Here is a 16773-nt window from a genome sequence, read left to right as displayed (position 1 = left end):
TCACCTGCCTAGGCCTCCCAAAGTTCTGGGATTACAGGCGTGAGCCACCACGCCCAGCCATTTATTCATCAAATATTGATCTATCTCCTCCTCTGTGCCCAGCACTTGGGATACCATTAATAGTGGTGCAGAAAGATGTCAAGAGGAGGTCACAGCCACACTCCAGCTCCAGCCGTGTCCTCAGGCCACCCCAAATAACTGTAGTGATAACAATAACATAAATGAAACAAAATTAGGCAAGGCTGTGTTCAAACTTCAGGAGATGGGTTATGATTTAATTTTTGAAAGGCAGAAGCCAATTCTGTAATCTATCATTGGAATAACTGACCACTCATAGAAGAAGGAGGAGGAAGAAGGAGGAGTAGGAGGAGGAGGAGGGCAAGGGGAAGGGGCAGGGGAAGAGGAAGGGAGGAAGAGGACGACGCCAGGTGTGAGCCACCACCCAGCACTTTGAGAGGCTGAGGTGGGTGGATCACTTGAGGTCTGGGGGTGGCACTGGAGGTGGGAGAGGCAGGGAGGGGCTGGCTGGGAAGGGCTGTGTAAACCAAGTTAAGGAGGTTAGCTTCACCTGAAGAGCAATAGGGAGCGTGAAATGGTTTTAAGCAAGGGACTGGCTTGATTTGATTTTTATTCTAGAAAGATCTCAATGGCAGCAGCGTGAAAAATGGGGGCTGTCGATCACTTAGGAGGCTGTCACAGTGTCCAGGCAGGAGCTGATGGTGGCCTGGCCTAGGGTGGCAATGTGAGGATGGAAAAAGTGAGGTCTGAGGAGGGGAGGGTTTAGGGAGGAGGAGGAGGGAATCAAGCTTGGCAGCCAGGCACCAGGTGGAAGGGTGGCACCAGTGCCGGCTCCAAGGGAGACTGGGAGCAAACCAATGTGGAAGGCCCTGGACAGTCTGATTTAGGAAACACTAAGTGTGGAATGCCCAAGAGACAGAACAGGGGTATCCAGCAGGCCACGGACATGTGAGTTGACAGCAAGACCAGAGATGCAATATGGGAGTCTCAGCTTCTAGATTATGTTAAAAACCTTGGCCATGGATGAGACCATCCCATGAGAGTCTAGCTAGAGGGGGACCCAGGGCTTAGCCATGCAGAAAGCCAACATTCAGAGAACAGAAAGAGGAAAAGTTGGAAATGAAGACTGAGAAGAGATGGCCAGGGAGGAGGTGGGAAAGCCATGAGCGTGTTCCAGGAGAGGAGGGAGGAGAGCGCCCTGGGTCCGAGGAAGGAGGCAGGAGGATCAGAGGGAGGAGGCAGGAGGGTCAGAGGGAGGAGGCGGGAAAGCCATGAGCGTGCCCCAGGAGGGGAAGCAGGGGAGCACCCTGGGTCAGCTGCGTCAAGTGCAGCTGGGAAGACCCATCCCGCGAGGACATGGAAGTGCCTGTTGTACTGTGCACCGGGTATTCCTGGTGACCTTGACAAGAGTGAATCTGAGAGGAGGGACAGTGGGTGCCAAAGCCAGCTGGAAGTGGGCTGGAGAATGGACGGGAATTGAGGAAAGGAGGCAGGGGGTGCTGAGAAGTTTGTCTCTGAGGAAAAGCAGGAAAAAAGGTGGAGGGGGTGGTCGGAGGGGTTTCTGTTTTTGTTTTAATCTAGAAGCAGGTCTGTACACTGCTGAGTCACAAGGGAGAGGGAGAGATGGATGAGTCAGGAGAGGGAGAGGATCATTAGAGACTTGTAGTCCTTGAGAAGGTCAAAAGGGGTGGGATGAGGGCGCCCGTGGAGGACTGGCCTTGTGTAAAAGCAGGTGTGCTGTTTCTTCACAAGGGAGGAGAAACCCAGGGGAGAAGGGAACACACAGGGAAGAGAAGGCTGGGCTGGCTATGTGCCTGCACCCTTGGGCCCTGGAACTGGGGGGAAAGCCTCTCGGCATGATGTGGCTTGTTTCTGAAGTCTGAAGCAACTCGCCCAAGAGGTGAGTTGATTTGGCCCAAGAATGGAGACCCAGCCCAATGCAAATGCCATAGCTCACCTGCTCCAACGTTGGCAGCCTTCGGCCCACCTCCCTGCGAAGGCTGCACACAGCGGGTTCCACCCAGCCAGGGGGAAGCCAAACAAGGTCCTGGAGAAACAGTTGTTACCAAGGGCATTCTTTAGCAATCCTTCAGGTCTTGTCTCTGCAGACAGGAGATGAGACATTGACAAAGGGCCCTAATCCTCCCTTAATCCTGCCCACTGCCAACCATGAGCAAACTGCCTGTATTGCTTATTGAGTTACTTAAGAAAAGGTATCAACTGACTTTGGGCATTTAAGGAAGAAAGGGAGGGAGGAAGGGGGGCAGGGAGGACAGAAAGAGGAGCAAAGGAAGAAGATCCCTTAATGTCAGGATGTCTTAAGGGGAGAAGCTTCTGGAGTGACTTGTCCCACCCATCCACACACAGCCAAGCTTTGCAGCAGATGGAGGCACTGGCAGCTGCTCTCTAGCATGGGACCACAGGCCTACCGAGGCTCAGCTTGGAGATGCATCAATAGTCAAATCCTGGTGCAGTGCCTGCCTAAGCTCTGCTCTAAGTCGGCAGTAACTATCACACGTTCCCTGTATTGAGCACCAAGAATCAGGTGCTTCAAATGCTTCTCAACAACTCTGCAGTTACCCTCATTCTGCGGCGAGAAAACCAAGGCTCTGAGAAGGCCAGTGCCTAAGCTTGCCCAGCTAGTGAGAGGTAAACCCCGAATCTGAGCCCCTCTGAAGCAGAGGGAGGCAGGTTTGCAGAGCAGTTATGTGACTCTCTGTGACCAGGCTGCCTGGGTTTGAAGCTTTGACACTTGCTGGTGTGTGATATTAGAAAGGCCACTGTGTCCTCACAAATGGGGGTATGAAAAGGACCTGCCCCACAGGGTTGTTAGGAGGTTGAAATGAGTTCATACTAATAAAATTCACAGAAAATATCACAAGTGCTATGTTGCGTTTGGCTATTATTATTGGGAGGGTATTTCTCTACCTCCCAATCCCCATCAGCACCCCCGTATCAAGCCACGCCAGATAAGCATACAATCTAAATAAAAAATGTATGCTTTCTGGCCGGGCGCGGTGGCTCATACCTGTAATTCTAGCACTTTGGGAGGCGGATCACTTGAGGTCCGGAGACCAGCCTGGCCAACATGGTGAAACCCCATCTCTACTAAAAATACAAAAATTAGCTAGGCAGGGTGGTGGGTGCCTGTAATTCCAGCTACTCAGGAGGCTGGGGCAGGAGAATCACTTGAACTTAGGAGGCAAAAGTTTCAGTGAGCCGAGATTGCGCCACTGCCCTCCAGCCTGGGTGACAGAGCGAGACTCCATCTCAATAAATAAATACATAAATAAATGTATGCTTTCTAATTAATCCCTTCTTCCTTTACCCATAGAATTTCTAGAACAGTCAGTCTATTTGTATTCTCTTTGCTTTATTGGCTTCCAGCCTTCTATCCAGTCAATACTGCAAGATCCATTGAAATAATTCCTTTTTTTTTTTTTTTTTTTTTTTGAAACAAGGTCTCGCTCTGTTGCCCAGGCTGGAGTGCAGTGGCGCGATCATGGCTCACTGAAGCCTCAATCAGGCTCAAGCAATCCTCCTGTCTCAGCCTTCCAAGCAGTTGGGACTACAGGCATGCCACTATGCTTGGCTATTTTTTGTATTTTTTGTTGAGATGGTTGGGGGGAGGGGGTCTTACTATGTTGCCCAGGCTGGTCTTGAACTTCTGAGCTCAAGATGTCTACCTGCCTTGGCCTCCCAAAGTGCTGAGATTATGGGCATGAGCCACTGCATCTGGCCCAGCTGTTCTTTTAATTGTCTTTTTTTCCCTCCGTAAGGTTCTGCCCTCTTTTCTCTCCACTTTTCAAATACATCGTGGAGACCATCTCAGTGCAGAGGCATCAGCCTCGTTCGCTCTTTCTTTCCGTCCTTTTTTTTTTTTTTTGACAGATTCTCACTGTGTCACCCTCAGGCTGGAATGCAGTGGTATGATCTCAGCTCACTGCACCCTCCACCTCCCAGGTTCAAGTAATTCTCATGTCTCAGCCTCCCAAGTAGCTGGCATTACAGACACGCATCACAACATCAGGCTAATCTTTGTATTTTTATTAGAGATGGGGTTTCACCATGTTGGCCCAGCTGATCTTGAACCCCTGAACCTCAGGTGATCTGCCTGCCTCAGCCTCCCAGAGTGCTGGGATTACAGGTGTGAGCCGCCACACCCGGCCAGCCTTGTTCTTTCTTAAAGGGGCATCCTATTGCCCCACTGACTGGATGCTTTGCAGCTTATTGCACAATCTCTAGTTGGTGGAATTTAGGTGGTTTCCCGCCTTTTGCTATTACAAATAGCATTGCAATTAATATCCTTGTAAGTAGAGCATCTCAGGCTTTGGGGGAACTGTCTTTAGGACAAATTCCTGTAAGTAGAACTGTCTGGCGATGAGTTTTTGTAATGGGAATTTTGCTTTGTATTGGTATTGTATTTGTATTTTGCTTTGTATTGTATTTTGCTTTGTAATGGGAATAGAGTGGAGGCCAACTCTGAGCACACCCATCTCTGCTAAGTCTCTGGTTTCAGTCACTCAGCAAAACTGCTACTAACAGACATAAAATGGGCACTTGCCATGTGCAAAGCATGGTCCCAGCTTCTGGGCAGAATATCAAGACAAATGGAATGAGATATGAATAAGCAATACGGCTCAAGAAAGGTACCAAGCTCACTAATAGCTTCCATTTTGTTCATCTATCAGCCACACACAGGTCACCTTCTTATTCTTAATTTCTCAGCAGCCTTTGAAATTGTGGAGCGGTGCCTCTTTGAAACAATAACGTCACTTGGTTTCTTGGATCTTTCGATTGTTTACCTTTGTTAGTTGTTCATCTGCCCAACTCTCCTAAATATTAGTACTCCTCAAAATCCCTTGCACAAAGTTTTTATGAGTATCAGGTGAGATAATGAAAGAAAGTAAGATTTCATATAGGTGTGAGCAAATTTCTAGAAATGTCAGAACATTTTCCTCTTTATCTCATTGCCCATAATTGCATTCTGTTAAATTAAAGTAAATTCAGGCCCAGTGCAGTGGCTCATGCCTGTAATCCCAGCACTTTGGGAGGTTGAGGTCAGGAGTTCGAGACCAGCCTGACCAACATGGTGAAACCCCGTCTCTACTAAAAATACAAAAATTAGCTGGGTGTGGTGGCATGTGCCTGTAACCCCAGCTACTTGGGAGGCTGACACAGGAGAATCGCTTGAACCGGGGAGGCGGAGGTTGCGGTGAGCCGAGATTGTGTCATTGCACTCTAGCCTGGACAAGAAGAGTGAAACTCCGTCTCAAAAAAATAAATTAAAAAAAAAAGTAAATAAAAGTGTGTGGCAGTTCCCCCTTCACTATATCTTTCTCCTGCCGCCATTGTGAAGAAGGTGCTTGCTTCCCCTTCACCTTCTGCTGATTGTCAGTGTCCCAAGGCCTCACAGTCATGCTTCCCATTAAGTTTGCAGAACTGTGAGTTAGTTAAATTAATTTTCTGCATAAATTACCCAGTCTCAAGTAGTTCTTTATAGCAGTGTGAGAACAAACTAACACAGAAAATTGATACCAGGAGTGGGGTTTTACCATGTTGGTCAGGCTGGTCTCAAACACCTGACCCTCAAGTTATCCACCCATCTTGGCCTCTCAAAGTGCTGGGATTACAGGTGTGAGCCACTGCTCCTGGCCTCCGTTAGAGACTTTAATGTAAAGCTAGCTGGGGAAAATTTCTCCCCAGAAGCAGATGGTGTTCTAGACCTGGACGGCTTTTCCAAGATCAAGGCTCCTCTACCATCAGGAAAGCCTTATTCCCTCCCTCCCTCCCTCCCTCCCTTCCTTCCCTCCCTCCCTCCCTTCCTTCCTTCCCTCCCTCTCTCCCTCCCTTCCTTCCCTCCCTCCCTCCCTTCCTTTCTTCCTTCCATCCTTCCTTCCTTCCTTCCCTCCTTCCCTTCCTTCCTTCCTTTCTTCCTTCCATCCTTCCTTCCTTACTTCCCTCCCTCCCTCCCTCCCTCCCTCCTTCTCTCTCTCTCTCTCTTTCTTTTTTTTTTTTTTTTGACGGAGTTTCAATCTTGGTTGCCCAGGCTGGAGTGCAATGGCATGATCTCAGCTCACTGCAACCTCCGCCTCCCGGATTCAAGCAATTCTCCTGCCTCAGCCTCCCAAGTAGCTGGAATTACAGGCGTGCACCACCATGCTCAGCTAATTTTTTTAGTAGACAGGGGGTTTCTCCATGTTGGTCAGGCTGGTCTCGAACTCCCCCCGACCTCAGGTGATCCATCCACCTCGGCCTCCCAAAGTGCTGGGATTACAGGCGTGAGCCACCACACCCAGCATTCTTTTTCTTTTCTTCATTTTTTGCTGTCTTAATCCTTTCCTTTACTCTCCAGGAAAATCCATGGAACCATAGTTTATGAATGGCCTTAGCTAAGGTTTATGCTTTAGCAAAAACCTGAGCAATTATGGGGTTTATGAAGACAAGTTAGTTTCATCGAGGAAAGATTCCAGTGAGGTTTCTGGAGGCTCACTCTTGGCAGTTGTGGGACACTAGTAGTATAGAATTTGACACTCATCTGTAAACTGGGGAAACACCTTGGACCTTGCAGTCAGCCAGACCTCCCTGCTGTTCAGAGGGGTAGAAGCCACTTTCTAAAAAGTGGGTGATAATACATGTGTTCAACAAAAACACCTAGCAGAGCATCCTGCTTTAGATCTCCTTCTGTCTCAAGTCGGAGCCTTGTATATGGTTTTTAAGAAAACGGAATATTGTATCTATTTTTCTTTTGATTTTCCTACTACAGAAAGCTTAATTAAAAAGGTGGCTGAAGGCAGGGCACAGTGGCTCACGCCTGTGATCCCAGCACTTTGGGAGGCTGAGTGGGCGGATCATGACGTCAGGAGTTCGAGACCAGCCTGACCAACATGGTGAAACCCCGTCTCTACTAAAAATACAAAAATTATCTGGGCATGGTGGCGTGCACCTGTAATCCCAGCTACTCAAGAGGCTGAGGCAGGATAATTGCTTGAACCCCAGAGGCAGAAGTTGCAGTGAGCTGAGATTGCACACTCCAGCCTGGGTGACAGAGCAAGACTCTGTCCACCCCTCCAAAAAAAAAAAAAAAAAGGTGGCTGATACTGTTGTTTCTTTAGACACTGCTACCAAATACACTAAGAAAATTTCTCAAGACATGGCTGAGTGCAGTGACTCATGCCTGTAATCCCAGCACTTTGGGAGGCCGAGTTGGGAGGATCACTTAAGACCAGGAGTTCGAGACCAGCCTGGCCAACGTGGCAAAAACCTTGTCTCTACTAAAAATACAAAAACTAGCCAGGCATGGTGGTGTGCATCCGTAATCCCAGCTGCTTGGGCAGCTGAGGCACGGGAATCACTTTAACCCGGAAGGCAGAGCTTGCAGTGAGCCAAGATCGCGTCACTGCACTCCAGCCTGGGTGACAGAGCGAGACTCTAGCTAAAAAAAAAAAAAAAAAAAAAAAAAATTGCCAATGTAACAACAACAATAAAAAAGAGAATTTCTCAAGGAAAAGGAACAGATGATGTGTTTATGGGAGCAGCCACCAGTTGGTCCACGGGCCTCCTCAGCGGTGGATGGCCAGCTTGGTGTTTCCAAGCTTTTCTCATCTTGTTCTCTTGGTAAGTCTCTAGATTGCTACAGCCTGTATTATCAGGCTAACAACAAAAACAGATACCTCTTTAAATCAGGCCATTTTACACCAAACTATAGTCCTTAATTGCCATCAAATCCAGAATACAGACCATGGCCAAATATTATTGAGCTGTCTATATTGCCTGAACTTTGATTTGGATGGGTTCAGTTCCTACAAGCTTTTGTTAAGGAGTACACTTCAGTCTTTTTGGTGTAACCCTCCTGACAGCCATTATAATAGTCCTCCTGGTGCACCGTATCCTATCCTCTCACATCTTAAATGTTTGTATACAATCATTCGTCAAATGTTGAACGGTCTCATTTGAACTAGATCTGCCAGAAGATAAAGAATTGTTCAACTGTTGTGACTTGTGAATTGTATACAGAGACTAAGTAAGTTCCGTATTTAGTCGGATGATGGTGACAGAGAGTAGTGTCAAGGTTTTGGTCAGTCTCTCAAAATTGAGACCGACCAAAAGGGAGGAATTGTTAAATTAAACTAAATTTGGCCTGAGGAGGCTTCCATACTTTGGCCTTTATGTAATGAACTGTAACCTAACATAACACATAAATTAACTGAGAGGCTAAATTAGGAGTATATTCTTTTAACCAATAGCTAGCTGAGCTTCAGTTAGTTGCAGGCAGCCAAATGTTTAAACTGTGTTCAAATAAGGCAAATGCTGAGGTGTTTCCAACTGGGTTCTCCTTGTATACAGAAAATTTCCTTTTTCTGTATAATCATTCCTCGGTATCCCTGGCGCAGTGGTTCCAGGATCCACCCGTGGATACAAAAATCCTTGGATTTAGCCAGGTGCGGTGGCTCATGCCTGTAATCCCAGCACTTTGGGAGGCCCAGGCAGAAGGATCACCTGAGCCTAGGAGTTCAAGACCAGCCTGGGCAACATGGCAAAACCCTGTCTCTACAAAAAATACAAAAATTAGCTGGGTGAGGGGTTGTGCACTCCTGTAATCCCAGCTACTGGGGAGGCTGCGGTGGGAGGATTGCTTGAGTCCTGGAGGTCGAGGCTGCAGTGAGCCATGATGGAACAATGCACTCCAGCCTGGGCGACAGAAGAAGACACTCTCAAAAAAAAAAAAAAAAAAAAAAAGCGGGGGGGCCGGGCACAGTGGCTCATGCCTGTAATCCTAGCACTTTGGAAGGCTGAGGCGGGTTGATCACTTGAGGTCAGGAGTTCAAGACCAGTCTGGCCAACATAGTGATATCCTGCCTCTACTAAATTATAAAAATTAGCTGGGCCTGTTGCACACCTGTAATCCTACCTACTGGGAGGCCAAGGCATGAGAATTGCTTGAACCCAGGAGGCAGAGGATGCAGTGAGCCGAGGTGATACCACTGCACTCCAGCCTGGGTGACAGAGCAAGACTCCATCTAAAAAAAAAAAAAAAAATGGAAGGGGAAAATTTGTCCTACAGTGTTATTTATTCTCTAATGATCATTTAATAATAAAAAATTATAGGCCGGGCGCAGTGGCTCACACCTGTAATCCCAACACTGGGAGGCCGAGGTGGGTGGATCACCTGAGGTTGGGAGTTTGAGACCAGCCTGACCAACATGGAGAAACCCCGCCTCTACTAAAAATACAAAATTAGCTGGGTGTGGTGGCACATGCCTGTAATCCCAGCTACTAGGGAGGCTGAGGCAGGAGAATCGCTTGAACCCGGGAGGCGGAGGTTGTGGTGAGCTGAGATCACGCCATTGCACTCCAGCCTGGGCAACAAGAGCGAACGCCATCTCAAAAAAAAAAAAAAAATTATTATATTATTTTATTTTAAAGGAGTTGTGGCTAAAACTCCAAAATTAAAGATTAAAAAGGGCAGTTCTGTACATTTAAAAAATTAGCATAATGATAATCTTTTATATCTTTCTGGCTCCACCAATGTGTCTAAAAGTTGGTTGGGAGGTGACATCTGCATTTGACATGTCTGAGGCGATAAATGCAGGGGTATAACTAGGTCTGAAACTCCTGAGACTGCTAGGAGAAGCACTCTTCTGGGTCAGGAGCAGAAAGGCTCATATTTATCAAGTGAAAATGCCACCAAGAAAACTTGGCAGTAGTCCAAGGTTACAGGGAGCAAAGACAGTAATCCCTCTTTTATAAAAATAGAAAAGCCTAAGAGGCAACACTTTCCAAACAATGACTGACCCATGAGCCCCAAGGGATCTTGGGTGACAAAGAGCTCCACGTCATTTGCAAATCTAGGTAGGGTTTCCACCTAAGAAAAGTAAACCCAGAGAAGAATCCGGAGAGTGCCTGGGAACTAGAAAAACTGGTTCGGAAATAGCCTCTGTCTTGAACCCTCCTCCCTGGATTCAGCAAGGAGACCCCCTAACCCAGCTTGATCTTTAATGGCCCTTGGCAAGCAATAAATTCTTTGCTTTCAGAAAGACCAGCTGCAAACTATAATTAAAGGGAAAAATAGATTTTAAGGAGCTTTTTGCAAATAGCTGAAAAATAGCTTCACGTGAATAGGACCAGGTTACAGGGAAAAGAAGAGACTGCCCTGAGTCATCTTAGGACAGGGCCTACAGGATTGCTCAGCAGGTGGCCTAATTTATAAGTTTGAAGAGTTTCAAGATCTTGGATCAGGAGAAATGACTTAGAAAATGCCCATTTTTCAGCCCGTCGGAGCTTAGACACTAGGGCAGGGCTGGTTGAGAAGTCAGGATTTGCAGATACTTTTCCTATTGCTATTCAAAAGGTGTCTTATCTTGGCAGATTCTGTTTTGAATGTCATTACTAAGCAGCTTTGGAAGCATTGGTGGAAGGGAAACAAAATGCAGCCATTAAAAATGGTGGTAACAGCCTGGCCAACATGGTGAAACCCCGTCTCTACTAAAAATACAAAAATCAGCTGGGCGTGGTGGCGCACCCCTGTAATCCCAGCTACTCGGGAGGCTGAGGCAGGAGAATTGCTTCAACTCGGATGGCAGAGGTTGCAGTGAGCTGAGATCGCACCATTGCACTCCAGCCTGGGCGAGAGAGAGACTCCATCTCAAAAAAAAAAAAAAAAAATTGGTGGTAAGCAGCAGGGCTTGGTGATGTGCCTTTAGTCCCAGCTACTTGGGAGGCTGAATGGGGAGGATCTCTTGGTCCCAGGAGTTTGTTTCCAGCCTGGGCAATATAACAAGACTTCATCTCAAAAAAAAGATGGTGGTAAGAAAGATGTTCATACTATATGACAGGGTTGGCAAACTTCTTCTGTAAAGAACCAGATAGCAAAATGTAGGCTTTCTACTCCATATGGTGTCAAAAGCTGCCACAGATAATATGTAAACAGTATGGCTGCTGTCACTACAACAAAGTCTAGCACCGTGGCAGAGAACAGACGGCCCATGAAGCCTAAAATATTTACTATTTCTGGCAAATTACAGAAAAAGTGTGGCGAGAAGCTCTCCGAGTACACTGGGTGGATCACAAACCAGTGAAGCAGCCACCTTGAAGAAGCCCTGCCCTTCCGTCATCATCAACGTGAGGGAATAAACTCTCCACGAAGACGGAAACCACAGAACGGTGAGCCACCCAGCCTCCACCACCTGGACCAGGCATCCCTGGCAGATGTCCTTTCTGGGAGAAAAGCCTAGATTTGGATCCAGGAGACCATGGTTCCTGATCCAGTGACTTGCTTTCTCTGGGGCTTACACCTGGAAGATACAGGAAATGTCAGCCCATTTCCCTCAGTTGTGTCTAACTGCAAGCTGGTCTCCCTTAGGCCTGGGGGAGTTGGCTTGCTTTTGTGATCCTCCCAGATCCAGACCCACCCTCCTCCTGAGCCTTAATTCTGCTTGCTCCAGCTTTCACTTTGCATTCTCATAATTATTTAGTGTGGTTTGTTTGTTTGTTTGTTTGTTTGAGACGGAGTCTCACTCTGTCACCCACGCTGGACTGCACTGGTGCAATCTCAGCTCACTGCAACCTCCGCCTCCTGGGTTCAAGTGATTCTTCTGCCTCAGCCTCCCGAGTAGCTGGGATTGTAGGTGTGCACCACCACACCTGGCTAACTTTTTGTATTTTTAGTAGAAACAAGGTTTCACCATGTTAGTCAGGCTGGTCTCGAACTCCTGACCTCAGGTGATCCACCTGCCTCAGCTTCCCAAAGTGCTGGGATTACAGGCGTGGGCCACTGTGCCCGGCCTCCTGGTTTTAAGGAGCAAGACCAAGAGGCCTTCATGTTGAGAGCTTGGGCTCAACTGTGCTTGGCCCTTCATTCCTGAGTCACATTTCCAGAGGAGCATCTGGCTGGCTGCCCTGAAGACTCAGCCACCTCTGCTGGGGCTGAGCATAGTGTTCTTTTTTTTTGAGACAGAGTTTTGCTCTTGTTGCCCAGACTAGAGTGCAATGGCGTGATCTCGGCTCACTGCAACCTCTGCCTCCCAGGTTCAAGAGATTCTCCTGCCTCAGCCTCTCGAGCAGCTGGCATTACAGGTGCCCACCACCATGCCCGGCTAATTTTTGTATTTTTAGTAGACACGGCGTTTCACCATGTTGGCCAGGCTGGTCACGAACTCCTGACCTCAAGTGATCTGCACGCCTTGGCCTCCCAAAGTGCTGGGATTACAGGCGTGAGCCACACCGCACGGGGCCACTGGGCAGTGTCTTGCTTGATGGTCCCACCAAGATGATACACAGTGCAGGTGATAGAGAAGGGATGGGGAGATGAGGTGGTTCCCCAAAGGAAAACTGGGCTGCTGTGACAACACAGGGCACGGATGCTGGTGAGTGGGACCCTCCGTTGTCGTTGCATTCCTCCTGTCACCAGCAGTCAGAGGTTCTCTGTGGGGTGTCCTTGAGGGTGCAGCCTTCCTCATCTCGGCTATTCCAGAACCCAGCCAAGGCCTGTCTTCAACAGCCACTTTATCTACATTTTGCTTGTTTGCTTGTTTTTGTGTTCATTTAAAAATTATTTTAGGGCCAGTCATGGTGGCTCACGCCTGTAGTCCCAGCACTTTGGGAGGCTGAGGTGGGCGGATGGCCTGAGCTCAGAAGTTCAAGACCAGCCTAGGCAACATGGTGAAACCGTCTCTACCAAAAATACAAAAAATTAGCCACATATGGTGGGGCATGCCTGTGGTCCCAGCTACTCAGGAGGCTGAGGTGGCAGGATCACTTGAGCCTGGGAGGCAGAGGTTGCAGTGAGCTGAAATGGTAGCACTGCACTCCAACCTGCGTAACAGCATAAAACCCCATCTGAAAAAAAAAAAAATGTTTAGGCCAGGTGCAGTGGCTCACTCCTGTAATCCCAGCACTTTGTGAGGCCAAGGTGGGAGCACTGCTTGAGCCCAGGAGTTTGAGACCAGCCTGGGCAACATAACAAGACCCCATCTCCAAAAGAAAAAAAAAAAAGAAATTATTTTAAATTTCTATGAACATATACAAATATATATGTATACACACACACATAAATTACATACATGCATAAATGTGACCATGTCATAATGATTTTGGATCTTTTGGCAGGTTGTTTAATTTCACTTTCTGCTTATCTCCTTCTCTTCTCCTTTCTGCCCCCATGTTAGTTCCCCACCTACACAAAGTGGCTCATGTTAACCTAAAATTCTGTATTTTCTCTATGAATGTGAAATCATATACAAAACATATATCCTGGCCGAGTGCAGTGGCTCACTCCTGTAATCCCAGCACTTTGGGAGGCCGAGGTGAGCGGATTACCTGAGGTCAGGAGTTCAAGACCAGCCTGACAAACATGGCAAAACCCTGTCTCTACTAAAAATACAAAAAATTAGCTGGGCGTGGTGGTGCATGCCTGTAATCCCAGCTACTAGGGAGGCTGAGGCAGGAGAATCGTTTGAACCCGGGAGCGGGAGGTTGCAGTGAGCCGAGATTGCGCATCGCACTCCAGCCTGAGCAACGAGAGCGAAACTCTGTCTCAAAAAACAAAACAAAAACAAAAAAACCAAAGAAAAAACCATATATCCTAATACACACATATTGCCTTTTACTGATTTTTTTTTTTTTTTTTTTTGAGACAGAGTCCTGCTCTGTCGCTCAGGCTGGAGTGCAACGGTGCAGCTTGGCTCACTGCAACCTCCGCCTGCCAGGTTCAAGTGATTCTCTTGCCTCAGCCTCCCAAGTAGCTGGGGCTACAGGAGCGTGCCACCACACCAGCTAATTTTTGTATTTTTAGAAGAGACGGGGTTTCACCATGTTGGCCAGGCTGGTCTCAAACCCCTGACCTCGTGATCCGCTGGCCTCAGCCTCCCAAAATGCTGGGATTACAGGGCAGAGCCACCGCACCCGGCCCACTCATTGTTTTTCAAAACTGAGATTATATTAAGCATTCTTTCTTACATCTTGCTTTCCTTAGTTAACACTACCTTGTGGAAAGCTGTCATGGCCAGCTGATAGATAGCCCTAGGTTATTTTTCCTATCCTGCAAAATATTCTAAGATGCAACATTCAATCATTTCTCTATTTATAGGACTGTGTGCTTAGAAAACTCAAAACATACTAGTTATTTTTTCAAAACACTGGAATAAATAAGAAAGTTTGGTTAGATGGCTAGTCTCAGGATAAATATACATCAAACAAGGCTGGGCGTGGTGGCTCACTTCTGTAATGCCAGCACTTTGGGAGGCGGAGGTGGGTGGATCGCCTGAGGTCAGGAATTCCAGACCAGCCTGGCCAACATAGCAAAACCCCATCTCTACGAAAAATACAAAAATTAGACAGGCCTGGTGGTGGGTACCTGTAATCCCAGCTACTAGTGAGGCTGAAGCAGGAGAATCACTTGAACCCAGGAGGCGGAGGTTGCAGTGAGCCCAGAACAAGCCACTGCCCTCCAGCCTGGGCGATAGAGCAAGACTCCATCTTAAAAAAAAACAAAAAACAAACAAAAAAAACCACACAATAGTTTTCTCACACTGTAGCAATAAACACCTAGAAATTTAAATAAGAAACATTTTCATTCAGCATGCAGACAAAAACTATGAAACACTTAGAAATAAATTTGGCTGGGCGCAATGGCTCATGCCTGTAATCCTAGCACTTTGGGAGGCGGAGTGGGTGAATCACCTGAGGTCAGGAGTTCGAGATCAGCCTGGCCAACATGGCAAAACCCCATCTCTACTAAAAATACAAAAATTAGCCAGGCATGGTGGCGGGTGCCTATAATCCCAGCTACTTGGAGGCTGAGGCAGGAGAATCGCTTGAACCCGGGGGGGCAGATGTTGCAGTGAGCTGAGATGGCGCCACTACCCTCCAGTCTGGGTGACAGAGCAAGACGCCATCTCAAAAAAAAAAAAAGAAAAAAAAAGAAAAAGAAAAAGAAAAAGAAAAAGTTGCCGGGCATGGTGGCTCACGCATGTAATCCCAGCACTTTGGAAGGCTGAGGCGTGCAGTTCACCTGAGGTCAGGAGTTTGAGACCAGCCTGACCAACATGGTGAAACCCCGTCTCTGCTAAAAATACAAAAATTAGCCAGGCATGGTGGCGGGCACCTGTAATCCCAGCTACATGGGAGGCTGAGGCAGGAGAATGGCATGAACCCAGGAGGCAGAGGTTGTAGTGAGCTGAGATCGTGCCACTGCACTCCAGCCTGGGCGACAGAGCGAGACTCTGTCTCAAAAAAAAAAAAAAAAAAAAAACACAAAAGTCAAAATCCCCCAATTATGATATAAATTGAATACAATTCCAATTAAAATTTCAGTAAGATTTTTTTCTTGGAGAGGTTGTGTTAGGCATTGAATAGTTTCCCCCAAAAAACCTATGTTGAAGTCCTAACCCCAGTACCTGTGAGTGTGACCTTACTTCTTTGAAGATATAATTAAGATATCATTTAAGATGAGGTTATACTGGATGAGAGTGGACCCATAATCTAATATGACCGGTATCCTTAGAAGAAAAGGACTGCAGCACTATTCGCAATAGCAAAGACATGGAATCAACCTCAATGCCCATCAGTGATAGACTGGATAAAGAAAATGTGCTACATATAGACCATGGAATACCATGCAGCCATAAAAAGGAATGATATCATGTCCTTTGCAGGGACATGGATGGAGCTAGAAGTCATTATCCTTAGCAAACTAATGCAGGAACAGAAAACCAAATACTGCATATTCTCACAAATGGGAGCTAAATGATGAGAACACATGGACACATAGAGGGGAACAACACACATTGGGGTCTGGCCAAGGGTGGAGGGTGGGAGGAAGGAGACGATCAGAAAAAATAACTAGGCTGGCCACGGTGGCTCATGCCTGTAATCCCAGCTACTCGGGAGGCTGAGACAGGAGAATCACTTGAACCCGGGAGGCGGAGGTTGCAGTGATCCGAGATGGCACCATTGCACTCCAGCCTGGGCAACAAGAGTGAAACTCTGTCTCAAAAAAAAAAAAAAAACAAAAAAGAAAAAATAACTAATGGATACTAGCTTAATACCTGGGTGATGAAATTAATAATCTGTAAAACAAACCCCCGTGACACAAGTTTACCTGTATAACAAAGCTGCACATGTACCCCTGAACTTAAAATAAATGTTTTTGTTTTGTTTTGTTTTTTTAAAAAAAGAGGAGGGCCCGGCCCAGTGGCTCACACCTGTAATCTCAGCACTGTGGGAGGCTGAGACAAGTAGATCACTTGAACTCAGGTATTCGAGACTAGCCTAGGCAACATGGTAAACTGCTCTCTCTACTAAAAATACAAAACATTAGCCGGGCTTGGTGGCATGAGCCTGAAGTCCCAGCTTCTTGGGAGGCTGACGTAGGAGGATCACTTGAGCCTGGGGAGGAGGAGGTTGCAGTGAGCTGAGACTGTGCCACTGCACTCCAGCCTGGGCCACAGAATGAGACCCTGTCTCAAAAATAAAAAAAGAAGAGGCACAGTGAGGAGAGAGCCATGTGACCCCAGGGCAGGTGCTGGAGTGATGAGCCTACACCCAAAAAGTGCCAAGAGCTGCCAGCAACACCAGCAGCGAAGAGAAAGGCAGAGAAACATTCTCCCCAAGAGCCTGTGGAGGGAGAACATGGCCCTGCTAATCGTTTGATTTGAGACTTCTGGCCTCCAGAACCGTGAGAGGATACATGTCTGTTGTTGTTGGGGTTTTTTGTTTTGTTTTTTTGAGATAGAGTCTCGCTCTCACTGCAACCTC

This window comes from Homo sapiens, chromosome 20, assembly GCF_000001405.40.
Source record: "Homo sapiens chromosome 20, GRCh38.p14 Primary Assembly".
Lineage (NCBI taxonomy): Eukaryota > Metazoa > Chordata > Mammalia > Primates > Hominidae > Homo > Homo sapiens.
This window is presented reverse-complemented; position numbering follows the sequence as displayed.